The sequence below is a fragment of the Homo sapiens genome, chromosome 14, assembly GCF_000001405.40.
Source record: "Homo sapiens chromosome 14, GRCh38.p14 Primary Assembly".
NCBI lineage: Eukaryota > Metazoa > Chordata > Mammalia > Primates > Hominidae > Homo > Homo sapiens.
Window position 1 is genome coordinate 93074613 of NC_000014.9, and position 17266 is coordinate 93091878.

The 17266-nt window shown below is 54.5% G+C and overlaps 1 protein-coding gene across 4 annotated transcripts in view, besides 4 other annotated features; it reads right to left on the bottom strand.

The window, feature by feature from the left end:
- Nucleotides 1-17266, bottom strand: part of ITPK1 (inositol-tetrakisphosphate 1-kinase) — a 179012-nt gene that overhangs the window by 137699 nt on the left and 24047 nt on the right. For 3 of the 4 annotated variants that reach the window (NM_001142593.3, NM_001142594.3, NM_014216.6), the window contains exon 3: nucleotides 1983-2007. The exons of the other annotated variant lie outside the window; for it this stretch is intronic. In NM_001142593.3, the coding sequence (NP_001136065.1) occupies nucleotides 1983-2007 (25 nt within the window). The remainder of the gene's footprint in view (nucleotides 1-1982; nucleotides 2008-17266) is intronic. 4 annotated transcript variants of the gene reach the window in all.
- Nucleotides 2331-2844: an enhancer, noted in NCBI's record as "H3K4me1 hESC enhancer chr14:93543288-93543801 (GRCh37/hg19 assembly coordinates)". NCBI's record gives its function as "activates a minimal SCP1, AML or CMV promoter by ChIP-STARR-seq in naive H9 embryonic stem cells {active_cell/tissue: H9 hESC(naive)}" and the evidence as "EXISTENCE:reporter gene assay evidence [ECO:0000049][PMID:30033119]".
- Nucleotides 3653-4221: an enhancer, noted in NCBI's record as "H3K27ac-H3K4me1 hESC enhancer chr14:93544610-93545178 (GRCh37/hg19 assembly coordinates)". NCBI's record gives its function as "activates a minimal SCP1, AML or CMV promoter by ChIP-STARR-seq in naive H9 embryonic stem cells {active_cell/tissue: H9 hESC(naive)}" and the evidence as "EXISTENCE:reporter gene assay evidence [ECO:0000049][PMID:30033119]".
- Nucleotides 10031-10654: an enhancer, noted in NCBI's record as "H3K27ac-H3K4me1 hESC enhancer chr14:93550988-93551611 (GRCh37/hg19 assembly coordinates)". NCBI's record gives its function as "activates a minimal SCP1, AML or CMV promoter by ChIP-STARR-seq in primed H9 embryonic stem cells {active_cell/tissue: H9 hESC(primed)}" and the evidence as "EXISTENCE:reporter gene assay evidence [ECO:0000049][PMID:30033119]".
- Nucleotides 13150-13771: an enhancer, noted in NCBI's record as "H3K27ac-H3K4me1 hESC enhancer chr14:93554107-93554728 (GRCh37/hg19 assembly coordinates)". NCBI's record gives its function as "activates a minimal SCP1, AML or CMV promoter by ChIP-STARR-seq in primed H9 embryonic stem cells {active_cell/tissue: H9 hESC(primed)}" and the evidence as "EXISTENCE:reporter gene assay evidence [ECO:0000049][PMID:30033119]".

Consider the following 17266-nt stretch of genomic DNA (forward strand, 5'->3'; position numbering starts at 1 on the left):
CCCTCCCAAGTGGCTGGGCGGAACCACAGGGCAACCCGGGGCCTTCCTGAGCACAGTGAGCCCCAGCTGTCAGTCTCAGGCTTATTGTGGGTAAAGCAGCATCTGTAAAGGATCCGTGGATTTCCCAGTGAACCATCATAGAGGGCTAAAAGGGAAATAGAAGCCACCGCATCCTAGAGGTGCAATGGTTAGAGACCATCTAACCCCGTGATGAGATGAATAACCACACCTCCTCTTTCCACGCCTGTACCCCTGGCAGGCACTACAGATCAACCCCTGTTCCCACCCACTCACAGATTTAGGATCCTCCAGGCTGCCAAAACCAATCAAACAGAAATGGTCCCTGAACACACACCCCTAAGCCATTCCTGAATTCCAGTATCCCCCACTTGATGATGGAGAAATTAAAGCCCACAGAAAAATTCAATGCAGGTTGGGCGCGGTGGCTCACACCTGTAATCCCAGCACTTTTGGAAGGCCGAGGTGGGTGGATCACCTGAGGTCGGGAGTTCAAGATCAGCCTGAGGAACATGGTGAAACCCCATCTCTACTAAAAACACAAAAACCAGCTGGGTGTGGTGGCACACGCCTCTAATCCCAGCTACTCAGGAGGCTGAGGCACGAGAATCACTTGAACCCAGGAGGCAGAGGTTGCAGTGAGCTGAGATAGCTCCACTGCATTCCAGCCTCCACTCCAGAGCGAGACTCCTTCTCAAAAAAAAAAAAAAAAAAAAAAAAAAAAAAAAAAAGGAAGAGAAAAAAGAAAAATCTAGTGCAGAACATGCAATTCTCCAGAGCCAAGAAGAGCCTGGACAAAAACCTAGAGCTGCTGAGAGGCTTCCAGAAACTACCTCCTTACCCCAAAACAAATCTCAGTCTTCCAGTGACAAGTTCAACCCACAAACTACCAGGAGGGAGGTCAGGAGGATCCTTTACCAGCCCCACCCGTCAACCAGCCCCAGTCTGGTCCCAGGAGCAGGGGAAACCTGGGGCCTGCAATGCTGAACCTGCAGGAATGGGGACGCTGCTCTCCTATGACCGCTGAGGGAAGGCCTGGAGCTGAAGTTAACAGGGGTGGGCTGGAAGAGCTCCCCAGTGGGCTTTTTGAAAGCCCCTTAGATATTCTAGCAGGGGCCAGCACCTCCACTGCCCTGATCTAGTCCCCAGCTTGAGTTCCCCTCTCTGCAGCTACAGGCAGATGAGGCCCGTAAGACAAGGAGATGGGATGCCAGCCCAGCTGCACAGACCACAGTCACCCTCCACGGGGACAGCGTGGGGAACAGAGGACATGGCCAGGCCACCATCAGGTTTACCAAGTACCCATTAGGTGCCAGGTACAGCCTTTAGTGCAAATAACACAGCCTGCCCCTCACATAGAGTCTGAGAGTATTTTGATGTTTCCTTCTTCCCCCTCCATCCATCCTTCCCTCTTCTCTCCATCCATCCTTCTATCCTTCCTCCCCTCCATCCATCCTTCCTTCTCCCTCCATCCTTCCTTCTCCCTCCATCTGTCCACCTTTCCCCTCCCTCCAAGATCCTTCCTTCCCCCTCCATCCATTCTTCCTTCTTCTTCCATCCATCCTTCTTTTTCTAGTTAATGAGCACCTGAACCAAGTCCACCCAGGGTGAGGCTACACAGAGCACAAGACAACTGGACATCTAGCTGGGTGCCTACTGCCCCCTCACCCTTCCCACACCCACCCTAACCTGACCACTGCCATGCACACCCCCCTCAGGACTCCCAAACCAACCCTCTCCCCACTGACAAAGCCACAGCAACCCTCCAAACCCGAGAAGCCCCTGTCGGAGTCTGCCCAGGCCAGGGCAGAAACCACATCAAATCCACAGGGGAGCTAAAAACAAGCTGCACGTGAAGAAGAGAGAAAGCCGTGCCCAATGCTGGAGGAGAGAAGGAGAGACAGAGAGGTGGGCACCAAGGGCCCCACTACCCAAAGAACCACGGGGACGCGGTCTGTACTCACCTGCACAACCTCCATCCCTCGCTTCCTGTGGAGAAAAACAAAGAAAACAAGCGTTACTCCAGCAGGCTGGACACGTCCTTTCCGAAGGTTCCCGACAGCCGGCTGAGGGCAGGACCATGAGAGGGTTTCAGGAGGGAGCCGGCAGCTGCGCCTCTCCTGCTACTGTCCCAGAACAGCCATGCCTTCCACTCCCAGCCACTCCTCAAACCACCTTCCCACTGAGAGGGCTGGCTCTGCAGAGGGACTTGCTGGAGTCCTCTGGAGGCCCCACGCCAGCCACCTCCCTCCACTCCTGGGCCGGGCCTCTGTCAGCCGAGCTCCAGCCTGGGTCGTCCCAAGGCCCCTGCCACCAAGTTCACCACCATCCTCACCACCTGCCGTCCCTGCCGAGCTCAACCCCCATAGGTCCCCATGTCCTCCCCATCAGGTCTCGCCCCAGGACCTGCCACAGCCAGTCATGCCCCAACCCATCCACTGCCACACACGGGAGGCCCACACAGTCCTGCCCGCTGCCTTCCCAATGCTCCACTGATGCCTGCCCTGGCCTCGCCAACAGCCTCCAAGCTGCACTCATGTCCTCTACATCTTCCCCGCTCACATGCAGTCCCACGGCCACCACGTAACCTGACTCTTGCCACCCAATTTTAGGAGCCTCATGGCCTGGGTCGGGGTTTGCCCAGAACACACAAAGGCTTTCTGTTGACTCCTACCCTTCTCTTCCTGACCCATTTCTTTTTTTTTGAGACAGAGTCTCACTCTGTTGCCTAGGCTGGAGTGGAATGTTACGATCTCAGCTCACTACAACCTCCGCCTCCCGGGTTCAAGCGATTCTCCTGCCTCAGCCTCCCAAGTAGCTGGGACTACAGGCACCCACCACCACGCCCGGCTAATTTTTGTATTTTTAGTAGAGATGGGGTTTCACCATGTTGGCCAGGCTGGTCTCAAACTCCTGACCTCAGGTGATCCGCCTGCCTCAGCCTCCCAAAGTGCTGGGATTACAGGCGCGAGCCACCACGTCCAGCCTCCCCCATCCCACATTTCTTACTGTGGGCCCAGGAAGTGCCCACCTGTGCAGCTCTGGCACACAGGGCTTTCTCCTCCCTGGCCCTGGTGCCCACCTCCCACCCCAGCCTTGAGGATTCGGCTCAGCATAGCCTCTCCAGGACGCCTCCTAACCTGGAAGAACTTAAGGCTACCACTGTCTCGGCCCTTTGTTCTGGGGTATTGATTGCTACGAGCCAGGGACAAGCACTGGTGTAGGGCCACCAGGACCTGCAGGGACCGAGGCACCCAAGACAGCATACTGTGCACATTGTGCTGGGAAGAAAGGCCTCCAGCAGATGCTCAAAGATGGCTGCAGCCAGGCAAGGTCAGGAATGTGTGGTTTACTCACCCAAGCTCCTTGGAGCAGGGACTATGCCAAACTTTAAAGCTATGTGTGCCCGTGCCCAATTATGATGCCCACCTGGCACACAGACACTCCTCAACGGCTGCTGGCAGATGAAGGTGTAAATGTGTAACAATTTAGCTCAGCTCCTGGGCCCAGCACTCGGAGGGTACAACAAATGCAACCTCCACAGTCTGGGCCCTTGAGAGGCTCAAGGTCTTAGGGAGGAGATGGGCACAAGCCCCACAGGAACCTTTGGGCACCCTTGCTCCCTTGTTTCATGGCACAGCTGAGGCGCCGCCCACCAATTCCTACATCTGTTTGTCAGCTCATTCAGTGAGGGCTTCCTCAACACCTTCTGATAGCAAGGCACTGAGCGGAACCTCACAAAGGAGCCACTCCATGAGACAGGAAGACAGAGGCCAAGGAGAGCTGACCAGGTCCCACTGTGGGAAGCACCCAGCCCACCTTCCCTCAAACCCCCGACACCTCAACAGAAACCTGGGCCCCGAGGAATCCAGTTTGAGAACCACCCTGGTTGAGGCATTCAGGGACCCTCAGTGTCTCTTAGCTTGTCTGCAGTTCCTGTAGGAATGGTGGCCAATATCCATCTGCTTCCACGGTTTCATGAGGGACAGGGGAGATACACAACAGCATAGCCCTGGGCCACCACAGCCCACAGCACAGTGACAGATAGCATCATGAGGAACCTGTGCTACACCCAACCACCCGCTCACAACCTGCACCGTTTCTGAGCACCTGTGGACACCTCAGCCCCTGCCTCATTCCCAATCATCCTGCCCCTCCCCCCGCAGGGACGAGAAAACTGAAGGAAGCGTCACTGACGGGAACCTGACCCAGGACACACAGCAGAGGACCTTGAGGAGCCAGCCCAAACTCCAGCGGCCCTGCTCCAGGACAGAAAACTCAAGTCCCAAATCACCGAGACTGTGAACCGCACAATGGGAAAGGCCGGTGACAGAGGAGCGCAGACTTCCACTGGGCTCTGGGCCAGGGCCTCGGTTTCCCTCTGAGTCAACCCTGCTGGCATCTGGGTTATCCCAGCGTGTGACTCTCCTCTCTTTACTGAGGTCAATTCCAATCAGTCCACATTTTACATCATCCCAGGCAGCTCTCCCTCCCTTAGTCCTAAAAAAACAGTCTCTCACTGAAAACAGATGGAACACATAAAATAAGAAAGCAACAAAAAAGTAATCTAGAGAAAAGATCGGCTGCAATCTTAAGTGGGGTTGATCTCCCAGGAGCCACAGCAGTTCCTCTGTCGCTCAGAGCTCCAAAAAAAGGATAAGTTGCAACAGTGGCAGAAAAGAGGGGGCCACCCACGTATGCTACACACCCCTTGAAGCTCACCACTCACCAATACCTTCTGCAGCCTCATGAGGGTGGGACAGTGGTTACCCCATTACCTGCAGAGCAGGCCGAGGCCTGGGAGACTCAGGAAGTGCAGGAGCTGGCCCGGAACAGGGCTCTCCCCACACCCACGTGTTCACCACCAGGTGCACCACCGTGGGCAAGGGTGGCACCAAGCTGGAAGGCCTGGTCTCCAGCCTCCAGGGCCTCAGTGCAATGGAAGGACCAGGAGGTGGCAGCGGAAAACTGCATCCCCTCTGGTGGTGGAATCCCACATGCACCACCACAGCCTCTCGGGAAAATAAAACAACCTGTCGGGGCTCATTTTTCACTGGGAAACTCGTGCAGAGCAAAGGCACCAACAACCTCGATTCCCCAAGAAGCAAGTTCCTAAAGTCCTGCCATAACCAGAAAGTTCAGAAATTGAATGATGAAGCCAAAGGGGAAGAGGGAGAAGGAAGGGACATGGGAGACAGGAGGAGGGAACACAAATCAGAGCATTGGTTGTCAAGTGACTGTTCCTCCTGAAAACCCTGGCTCCATGATCCCACCTCATCACCCCACAGACAGGCTCAAGTGTGCAATATGTTTCCGGCTCTGCCCTGTTAATTACCAAACTGTATGTGATAGCAAAACACTAGCAGCAAATTAAACTTCCCCCAAGAGGGGACATTAACAAACCACACACAGTCAAAGGAATAGTATGCAGCAGTAAAAAAGAACACAGAAGGCCTCCATGCACCCACGAGGAATTATCTCCAAGACGTTGCTGTGTGAAACAGGTAAGATGCAAAACCCTGTGTGCTGTAGATAATTATCTGTGTTAAGAACAACATCCAGGACAAGCATGTGTGCTTGTGTACACACAGAGTGAACCTGAGGGCGCTACAGGAAAACAATCATGGCAGGGCCCCTGGTCAAGGGCAAGGGCAGCTGGGGTGGCCGAGGGACTTCCTTTTCACTGTGTCCCCTCATACATTGCTTCAATGTTGTGCCATGTGCCTATAACATGTTATCAAAAACTGGAAAATATATTTTTTAATTGTTTCTTAAATAGATGCTTGATAAAAGCACGAAGCAATCGATCAATGGAGGACACAAGACAGCAGAGCTCAGGATGTATCATGAAAAGCTTCCAAGTGCTGTCCCAAAGAGGAGCTGAAATGATGCCTGCAGTGGGGACCACCAGGCTGCAGCACTCGCTATGGGTTCTAAGCCCGTGGAAACATTCCGATACCTGGAAAACAGACTGAGGTGCGTGTGCTGCAGTGTTAACTGTGGCCACGGGGCTGTGGTTTTTCCTTCATACTTCCCTGTGTTTTCCAGATTTTCTACAATGAACATATACGCTACCCTCAAAACTATAGGGAAAGTAACAATAAAAGTTACATTTTTTTTTTTTGAGACAGAGTCTGGCTCTATCGCCCAGGCTGGAGTACAGTGGCATGATCTCAGCTCACTGCAACCTCCGCCTCCTGGGTTCAAGCAATTCTCCTGCTTCGGCCTCCCGAGTAGCTGGGACTACAGGCATTTGCCATGATGCCAGCCAATTTTTGTATTTTTAGTAGAGACAAGGTTTCACCATGTTGGCCAGGCTGGTCTTGAACTCCTGACCTCAAAAGTGCTGGGATTACAGGCTGAGCCACTGCACCCAGCCTACAATTTAATAATTTTTAAGTTTCATTAAAAACCTGCAGCCGGGCATGGTGGCTCACGCCTGTAATCCCAGCACTTTGGGAGGCCGAGGTGGGCCTCCCAAATCACCTGAGGTCAGGAGTTCGAGACCAGCCTGGCCAACATGGTAAAACCTCGTCTCTATAAGAATATAAAAATTAGCTGGGCATAACAGCAGGTGCCTGTAATCCCAGCTACTTGGGAGGCTGAGGCAGGAGAATTGCTTTAACCCAGGAGGCGGGGGTTGCAGTGAGCCAAGATCGTGCCACTGCACTCCAGCCTGGGCAACAGAGCGAGATGCCGTCTCAAAAAAAACACAAAACCTGCACCTGCGAATAATTTTACAGGCTCTAAACTGTCATTGTATTGATAAATATTACACTAATATATAAATACAATATATTAATATGAATATTAATAAAATAGGAATAGCTAAGTATAAACATGCTTTTCCAAAAGCTGGATTATTAACAAAGGGATGATCCGCTTTGCACAGGGAAGCCTGTCCCCAGAAGTCCAAGGAGCACGAACCCTTCAGGAAGTGAAAATACTCACAAAATGATTCGATCCTTTCAGAGGAGGAGGCTGGCAATAAAGGAAGGCTTCAAAGAGGAGGCAGCATTTGCCATCTGGCAGAGCAACTGAAGGGTAACTACAGACCGGTGCTGAGAAGAGTACTTAGAGAGGAGTAAGGTGAGTCCTGCGCCCTCCCCAAAGGGTGTCTGGGGCTCTGGAAGCTTAAAGCCCTCTCAGGGGGCGGGGGCTGAGACGCAGGACAGAGGATAAAGGTGGGGCACGCCTCAGAGGCCCAGGATGTCACCCTGTGGCCCAGCCTTTACCTATGGGCCAGTGGGTCCCAAATGCCAGGGCAGATAACCTGAGAACCACCACTGGAGCGTGTCAAAAATCCTCATTCGAGGCCCACCCTGAGGCCTCTGATCCAGGAGGCCTAGGGCAGGGCCTGGGAAGGATTCAGGGTTCATCGCACTCCGGGTGTTGCTCAGGAGCAGCTGGGTATGGGGACAGCTGCTTGTCCACAAGAGCGACTCCATGTGCTTCTCTGTGACCAGTGGAAGCAGGATCTGATTTGCTAGGGGAGGACATAGCAGGGGTGGGGTGGGGGGCAGCCCTTGCAGGTCTTGGGAAAAGGGTAAAGGAAACCTAAGAACCAGAAATAGTTGTGACGCTCACAGTCTGGAAGGAGCAGACTGAGGCCCTGCGCCAGGCCCAGGAGACGAGAGAACACTGCAAGAAGGCAGCAGCAGTCCACTTTTCAACCGTGGTGGTGCCAGGAAGTGGTTAGAAGCCCAGGACTGAGCTTCGCAGCATTCAGAGGCTTAGATGAACACAATTCGGGGGCGTAGGCAGGAGCGGAAGAGGTGGGTGAGCCCCTGAGAGCAGAACATGGAACCAGACCCCCCTGTACCTTGTGCCTCTGTTTTCTTATCTGTAAAATGGGAGAATCCTAGAACTCATCCCACACGGGCTTTAAGGGAAACAGAGTCCAGGCCTGGCACAGTACCTGGCTCATGCCAGGGATGGGGGTCTTGTGACCTGCACTCTGCCCTGCCACCCTGCCTTCCTACCCTTCCAGAACTGCCTCCTCCAGTCCACATGACTGGGGGCGGCACGCCCACTCCAGGGGTGGGCACATGACCTGTCACCTCACTTAGCAGCAGCATGGGAGCAGGACCCAAGCCAAGCCGGTCCTGGTCCTTTACCGGACGGGTCCTGGGGGACTGTCTGCAGTACAAATGGCACTGCCTGGAAATGCTGGAGGACACCATTGCTTCTATGTGGCGAGAATCCAGATGAGCCAGAGGCCAACCAGGAGAAAGGGCCAAGAGGGCTCCAGGAGGGCAAATTCCCCGGCCAGACCCGGCCGCAGTGGGGCTCGTCCTCTCTAGACCTTCAGCTGCAGATTTCTGCTCAAGCCAGCTAAAGCTTTCTGTCGCTGGCCGCTGAGCAGCAGGGACCCTGTGAGTGACAGTGGTTACCACTTCTGAAGATGATGAAAATTACTCTGGATGACCCAGCACTGAGGGAGAGGGGATGATAAGGGAAAACAATAAAGATGATCAGGGCAGAAGTAGAAAAGAGTGATGAGGAGCAGAGACACGTCCACGGCATCCACGCCACCACCAAGCCACTGCAGCACAGTACCAGGTGTGGCGTCAGGAGGTTAACACAAGACACTCTGGGATGACAGACCCCATCCAGCAGCAGGCCTGCCACACAGCACAGCAGGGCACAAAAGGCTCAGGGACCATGACCAGCAGCAGGCATGGGATGTGCTGCTGAGCCGCTCGGGGTCTCAGCTTTCATATCCGTTAAAAGGATATGACCTTTCCCACCCAAGAGGCCCTCCCCAGGGCAGGGTGGGGACCTGAGCGCTGCAGCAAGTGAAGTACATGAAATGGTGAAGAAGCAAGGGAGGAAGGTTCTACGGAGAACAACTCGGGGAAGTGGGAAGCCAGGCACATCCTCATCCAAGCAACGTGTGGCACAGTTCAGTAACTACTGATTTCAGGCACCCCAAATAACAAGACCCTTTGGCACCTCCAGGTACCAGGCACTGGGGAAAAAGCCCCAAGTTATGGTCCCCTTTCCCTGCCTGCAGAGGGCAGGGCCCACACCGTACCCCACAGAAGCCCAGGATGTCTCCCCAGGACTTGGGGCTCCTAAACAGATGACTAAGCCCCGTCACCCATGTGTGTTGATGGCCACACTGTTCCCTTCCTCAAATGCCATCCCCACATCACCACCTGACCCCCCAGGTCAGCTCCTCTGGAGAAACCTGCCTTGGCTCCCACCCTCCTCAGGCCCCACTGCCCCAAGCTGCCCACACCCAGCACTGGGCAGAGAGAAAGGCTGCTGGACTCCATTGCACTGACCCCACCAGGCTAATGCTCGGTGGTGAACATCAATGGTGGCCATCAAAGCCGGCAATTTCCCTCCTGGACACTCAGTGCCACTGTGTTGTCCCTGCCCCCAGTCAGGCATGGCCACAGGACTTGCCTTGGGCAATGAGATGTGAACAGAGGTGACCATGTCCCCTCCTGGAAAAAGCATTCCACTGCCAGCACCGAGGCCTCCCTGACCTCAGAAACAAGGAAGCACATGAGGCTGCCACCCACCAGCAGAGCCAGCCAGACCCGCCACCTGGAAACAACGCGGGCTGAGTGGCGACGAAGCCAGGCTGGGAACCAGAAAGAAACAACTGATGAAGAGGACCTCCAGCTAGCGCTGGTTCCCAACTATGGGCAACTGTGTGTCCCCCACAAGGAGATTTAGCAACACCTGAAGAGCTTTTTGATTGTCACACCGAGGAAAGTGCTACTAGAATCCAGTGAGGAAAGGGCCCCTGTAATGCAGAGGACAGCCCCCTAAAACAAAGAATTATCCAGCACAAAAGGTCCACAGTGCTGAACTTAAGAAGTGGGATACACACTGAGCCACTGCAGGGCAGACCACAGCCCCCGAGAGTCTCTGGATCCAGAGTGCATGCTGAATGAGTTGTGAGTAAACCTATTTCCGCCAGCCTTTCGACACTACTTGTCACTGCAGCCTAACCTGGCCTATCCTGACTAACAAGCACTCTTTCAGGGACACAGCTTGTGCCCTGTGTCCACAGCCCCAAATTCTTAGCAAAACACCTGCCACATGGGCATTTGGAGGTGCAGCTCAGAAGACACGAGGGGGAGGCAGCAGCAGCCTCTCAAACCCTCCCAGGAGGGACCCCAATCTCCAAATGCCAAGGCTTGACCTAAGTCTGCCTTTGCACAAACTGATCCCCCTGCCAGGCACCCTTCCTCAGCTGGCAAACTCCTGCCCACCCACCAAGAGCAGCTCAAGTGCCTTCCTCATCAAGAGGCAGGAATAATGGCTTCCACTGAAGCCTGCTCCATGCTCAGCATCAGACCATGAGCCCCTCGAGGCCAAAGATGGCTCTTTATTTCAGCATCCCTGTGCCCCCTGCAGACCCTGGGCCTGGCAGGCTCTCTGCAAACACTCCCCGAGTGCTGCCGGGTTCCTGGGCCAGGCTCCAGCCCCGTGTCACCCCTGCCCGCCTGCCCTGCGGCATCTTGGTTTACTTGCTGATTGTTTGGTAATTTGGATTTTCCTCCTATTAACAGTGCCAGAAACTGAAATGGCCCGATATAAAGACAACATACGAACAGAATTTTAAAGCCAGTACAAACATTTGAATTGTCTGGACAGCTCTAGGGAAGAACCAGATAAACTGGAAGCTGCCATGTGTCTTTTTTATTGAGTGGGGGCATCTTTCCTTTGACTGGGGAGTCACCAACCACCTTACCTGAAGACCCTCCCCCCGACCGGGTGCCCCACCCAGGGGAGGCAGGCCGGCCCCAAAGTCCGGGCGCCCCTCAGTGCAGGCACAGCAGCCTGAGTCAGTACACTCCCTCAGACCCAGAACAGCTTCCAGGGGTGCCTGGAAGCAGCTTTTCCCAGTGAACAGGCACAAGAGAGAGACAGAGTGGGTGACCCACCTTTGGCACCTCCCGGAGAGGTCATCAGAGCTGCAGGGGCTGAAAGCAGCACAGGAACTGAGGTGCCTTTGAGACTCCCCTCCTCAGTTCAATTTTCAGGAAGGAGGAAGTGAGGCGAGGGCAGGAGATCACGCAAGGCAGTGTTCTGCCACATCCAAGGGGCCACCACTTCAGATCAGGAATCATCCTGACTTCTTGCTGATCACAAACGTTAAATCTATTCCCTTAATGGCTCTCGACATCCCCGCTTTTTAGTGTGGAAATTCTCGACTTGAAATTGTTTTTGAGTCTTTTACTATCCCCTTGCAGGTGCGGTAATTTTTCTTTCCCCTAATTAGGGATGGGACCTAAATTGTGGGAAGCAGGGGAGTTGGCTGCTGGGAGAGGGAGGTAGTGGGGGGTGCTGGCAGGCTTGGTTCTAGCACCTCCTCCCCTCCCCGCTACCCCCACTCCCCCTCCTCCGTCAGCCAGCCAGCCTCAGGGCTAATGATTCAGTTGGTTCTCTTCACAGCAGCTTCTTAATCCCAAGAATGCAAAGTCATTTAGTATCAGCCTAATGAGCAAGGTAGGCTACTGCAGGAAGGGAGGCAGAAATTCCCGTGACATTTCCCTCCCTTGGACTCACTGGGGGAGGGAGAAGCCTGCTCAGGAAAGCCTGAATTGTTCTAGCACCTATCCTCAAGGTACCCCACACTCCTAAAATAGCAGCATAAGTGTGTGTGTCCCCAGCCTGTGTCCTGGATGCTGACACTCTTTGAAAGGCTGTGTTCCAGAGGAGACCGAAAGACTTCACCCAAATTCTGCTGCCAACACTCCTTACCTGGCCTGAGGGCTGGGGGCAGCTCCTGGTCCCTGGATCCCAAGCCCTTAAAGTTTAGTTGTCTTTGCCCTGCTGCTGCACCTCCAACCACAGGCAGCGAGAGTTTCCTGGTCTGATTTTGGTCAAACATTTGCTGGGCTTCTCTGTCACGCACTGGGCTGGCCTGGGACCAGAGGGGGACCCCAGACCGCAAACCCTGCCCCGAGATGCTAGCTGCCACAGGGCAGACCAGTGGGCTACATGCCATGCCCTCTGGCGGGTGTGCCACAGGCCCTTAAATAGCACAAACACCTGGGGGACAGCAGGAGGCACAGGGAAGTTTCAGTAGAGCTGCTGTGTGAGCCAGGCCCTGGAGGGGAGGGAGAGGGAGGCTGCCAGGGCACGCTAGAGAAGGCCTGCTAAGCACCAGGAGAAGCAAAGGCAAAGACCAGGTCATGGGCACTGGGGTTTCCTGGGGCCCCCCAGCCACAGGCATGAGTCAGCCCTGACCCCATCTCAGAAAACTTAAACCACAAGGCACCTTACTGGAGTATCTCCCTGGCCCCTCAGATATTTTCGGGATGGCAGGTCAAAGGAAAGTCCCAAGGTGTCGGGTCACATGGGCTCTGGCCTTGACCTTGACCCTGACCCAGTCCCTCCCTTCTCAGTCACAGATTCACCCACAAGCCCTAAGAAGAGCAGGGTAGGAGAAAACTGTATTCACTTCCCATTGCTGCTGTAACAAATCACAACAGTAGTGGCTAAAAACAACACAAATGTATTATTCTCTTAGGGTTCTGAGGTCAGAGGCAGGCTTCCTTTTGGAGGCTCCAGGGAGAAATCGATTCCTCCGCTTTCTCTAGTTCTAAAGGCTGTCCACATTCCTTGGCTTGTGGCCACAACACCCCAACCTCTGCTTCCACTGTCACATCTCCTCTGGCCCTCCTGCCTCCTTGTAATTACACCAGGCCCACCCAGGTAATGCAGGAACATTTTCTATTTCAAGATGCCTCACTCCTTCACATCTGTAAGCCAAGAGCAGTGGCACATGCCTATAATCCCAGCTACTTGGGAGGCTAAGGCGAGAGGATCACTTGAGGCCGTGAGTTTGATGCTGCAGTGCGTTATGATCAGACCTGTGAATAGCCACTGCACTCCAGCCTGGGTGACACAGTGAGACCCCCATCTCTGAAAAATAAAAATTTAAAAATCCCATCTGTAGTCATGTCATACCCTTTTACCATGTAAGGCAGCACACTCACAGGCTCTGAGGATTAGAACCTGCTGTCTTTGGTGGGGAGTGGCAGGGGCCTTACTTTGCCCACCACAACCCCAAGGCTCCCACAGCTCTGCCATCCCAGGATTCTCAGACATCGCCTGGAAGCATTCATGTGTCAGGCAGGAATGAATGAGGACCTGTCAGGAGTTTGTAGGGGCCTTCAACAGTCAATGAGGAGTTGATGGGGAGGAGCACAGCACAGCTTTGCACGGTACCCGCAGATTCCCAAGGGGCACTGGGTACAGCCCAGCATGGCCGCAGGGGTCCCTGATGGGAATGGCGGGAAAGAAGCCCAGGGAAGGGATGTGGGGGAACTGGGTGCTGGAGACCAAAGGCTCCAGGCCTGGAAGCCTTGGCTGCAAACCGGGGAGCTGGGTGATAATTACTGACACTTGGGCTCATCCTGAGGTCCATCAGAGGTGCCCAGGCACCTGACCCTAAAACAGGCAGCGCTTCATCGGCTACCCGAGAGACTCTCCAGTTTCAGAGAGGATTCCAGGGGCCTGAGCACGACCCAAATAAATGAGAGGCTAACACCAGTAATCCCCGAGCTCTCTCGTTCCCCACCCAGGCCTGCTCTCCCTGTCCCAGGCAGAAACAGGGACAGACGAGGCAGTGGCGGGGCAGGATTTGTGAGTGCCAGGCACTTCGTCCCCCTCACACTGGATCTCAGCAACCACTGGGTGGGTACAATGGTTGCATCTTTTCTTTTTTGGTTTTGTTTTGTTTTTTTTTTTTTTTTGAGACAGGGTCTCCCTCTGTCACCCAGGCTAGAGTGCAGTGACACGATTTCGGCTCATTGCAGCCTTGACCTCCTGGGTTCAAGCAATTCTCCCGCGTTCAAGCAGGAGCTACTTGGCCACCCAAGTAGCTGGGACTACAGTCGTGCGCCACCATACTCTGTTAATTTTTGTGTTTTTAGGAGAGACGGGGTTTTGCCATGGTGACCAGGCTGGTCTCGAACTCCCAACATCAAGTGATCTGCCTGCCTTGGCCCCCCAAAGTGCTAGGATTACAGGCATGAGCCTCTGCACCAGGCCTCTTTTTTTATTTTTTGTAGAGACAGGGTCTCACTATGTTGCCCAGTAGGTTGCTGGTCTCAAACTCCCAGGCTCAAGCAATCCTCCCGCCTTGGCCTCCCAGAGTGCTGGGATTACAGATGTGAGCCACCGCGCCTGGCCTGTCACCTCTTTTCAAGTGGGGAAATTCAGAGCAGTTCAGTATCCTGACCAAAGACTCACAGCAGGTAAGAAGCAGAACCACAATCTAAACCCATCCAAATACCAGTAATTCCCAGGCTCCCTTACTCCCCACCCAGGCCCGCTCTCCCCAAATCTGTCAGGAAACCCTCCTCATCCCACAGCACTGTGTGACTTCCTGGGGAGAAAGGGGACCTGTGTGATGGTGGGGGGCCCACCGGGTCTGTTGGGGATGAGGCTCTGGGATTTCTGGAACAGGGTTGTTCTGGACAGAGCTGCCTCTCCACCCAACCACCTGCTGCCCTAATCCTCCCTCAGAACCTTGACCCCAGGAGGCCAAAAGGATGGATGCCATTGCCCCAGGGGCCCCAAGACCTGAGGAGCAGCCCCTGAGCAGGCCTGCAGTGAAGGGCCCGGAAGGCACTTCCTAAGGTCCAGCCTCTGGCATGTCAGGATGCTGTGGGGTAGACACGCCCTGGGTCAATCCAGCCCAGAAGCCGGGGGAGCCAGCACCCTGTTCCTCCCCTCTCCACACGGTTGACAGTCCTGTCCAATATCAAACCTTCCAGGCAGAAGGAACCCTTCCTATGAAGTAGATTTCAGCTCAACCATAGGAAGAGGTTGCTGGCTTCCATAGGAAGGCAGTCAAGAGGTGATGAGCACCCCGTGACAAGAAGGATTCAAGCAGATGCCAGATGCCCACAGGCAGGGAAGAGAGGCCAATCTGTGGGGAAGGCAGTAGGGCTAATGTTTTAGGAGCCCTACCCCACCTCTAAAGGGTTCCACCAATGAGACAGAAATCAGCTGGGTCACAGGACTGCAGCTCATGAGAATGGTATGTCAGCTGGGTCTCTGGAGGAGGTGAGAATGAGCCTGGGGCCTCAGAGGACCCCAGTGCCAAGAGTCAGTCTCAGAGCCAGCTCTCGGCAGGCGGGCACAGCCCCCATCTTCTTCCTGCCGGCCTCCAGGCCTGTCAGGCTCTGCAGCTGGGAGCCATGGCTACAGTCCCCAAACAGCTGGAATAATCCCTCAGAGCCCCATGCAGGGGGTCACAGCTGCCACCAAGCCAAAGCCAAGAGCCAGGACCCTGGGCATTAGAGAGAAATGTCAAAAGAAGGATGCAGAATTCCAGAAGAGCGGAAGAACTGAGGCCAGCACAGGCAGGGCTTCCCACTCCCTGAGACACACAGCTCTGCGGTGCAGGCCACCAGGCGGTCTCCCTGCTGTCCCTGCACACACACTCTGCACCTTCTGCATCTGAAACATGGCTCATCACCCCCCAGCCCCTGCCCAGACTCACCCCCTGGGCTTCCCTCACCCCCACCACTTGGGCCTCTGCAGCAGGTGCACACCTCCTCACCCAGCAAGTCTCGCCCCATCTGTTCCTAGCACACCGGGCTTCCTGCCGTGCCCCACAGGTCGGTTCTTTCACACTTCTGACCACCTGCCCATGCTGTCCGCCCCTGGAACGCCCCCATCCCTGCCTACCATGCACAACACGGAAGCCTCTTCCTCGCACCATCCTCTCAGAGGGCGGTCCAAGAGGAAGGACACAGAGGAACCCAGGGTGTTGGAAAGGGTGGTCAGATCGAGACCTGAAGGGCCAGCACATGGTATATTCTCCTGACCTGAATGCCTCCCGTGTGAAGGACAATCCACAGAGTCCACTTCGTGCCAACCCTAAATGTCCAGCCCGTATCCCTGACTGGTGTGCTAGCCACCATCCTGGAGAAACCCTACTTGTCAGGATCAGAGCTCAAGATAGAGAGGAATGAGCCCCATTTGCAGGGGGTGGGCAACGGGGGCTTTTCTTTTCTTTTTTTGGCCAGCGTTTTCTGGAACTAAATTCCTCCTGATGAGGAATAAAACTCCAGGGACAGGAGGAATGTCTGGGGACCTGAGGGATAAGACTATTCCTGTGCCAGTTTGGTTACCTGGGCCAAGAAATGTATTTTTTTTTTCTTTTTGCTTAAACTCATCTGAATTGGATTTTCTGCCACTTGCATTCACAAGAGCCCTGGCTGCTTCAATGTCCAAATCGAAACGCTACACTCCATCATTTCCATCACCAACCTGCGCCTCCAGTCTTGAAAACGGACTCATCCTGTAGCCAAGCCAGAGGCCCCCATCATCCTCCCCTGCTCTTCCTCCTCATCCCTTCCTCCGCAATCACCATGGAAAGGTTTCCCTGGGGCTTGCAGGCAGCCAAGGGCCAGTGGTCCCTCTCCCAGGGAGATGGCTCACCGTGTGCTGGAAGGAAAGGCAGGAAGAGGAAGGCAGATGGCCTCTCAGCTGAAGAGGGAAAAAGAGAATCCCCAATAACACTAGCTGGCTGATTGCATATAATTATGAAGAGAAAAAGTTCTTTAAAATTAGCTTCCCAAATACAGATATAATTTCAAGTGTCCCTTGTGGTGTGATTACAGCGTCAGCCCAACAAATGTTTTCCCGTCAGTACAGAATACTCAGGCCCCTGCAGGCAAAAAATAATGAAGCCAACAACGGCGCCAGGGCCAGACAGCTCCCACAGAAGCACTTCCAGCTGCCCAGGAAAGCACCAGGCCAGGAAGCCCAGCCCAGAACCAGTCTTGCTCCCCTCCACAGCTGGCCTCGGGCTCTTCCCAAGAAGGCACCAGGCACATCATTCTTCATTCTCTCTTTTTAATCTTCAGGGCCTTTGATATTCAGACTCAAATGCCAAGAGCAACCAGCTCATGTCAACAAGGATGGCTTCACTTGCTGTGTGCCTCCTACGCCGAGTGCTGGGCTCTACACCTCGGTTTTCCGGCCTGGAAAATAGCACGGTGGCTGGGCATGTAACTCAGGACACTGCCAGAGGGTGGAATGAATGAGGCTGGCACATAGTGGCATCCAGTCAGTGTCACCAGCTCCTCCCCGCCTCCCATTTAACCTCAGTCTTCAGGTGTGGCACCTGAAGCTCAGACAGGCTCCAGGAGCCATGCAGCTAGTCATAGAAGAGCAAGGAGGCAAACCTAGCTCTGCCAGGTCCAGACTCCATGCTCTTGTCACACTGGGTCCTTGCTGGGCGTGAGGGATGACGGGA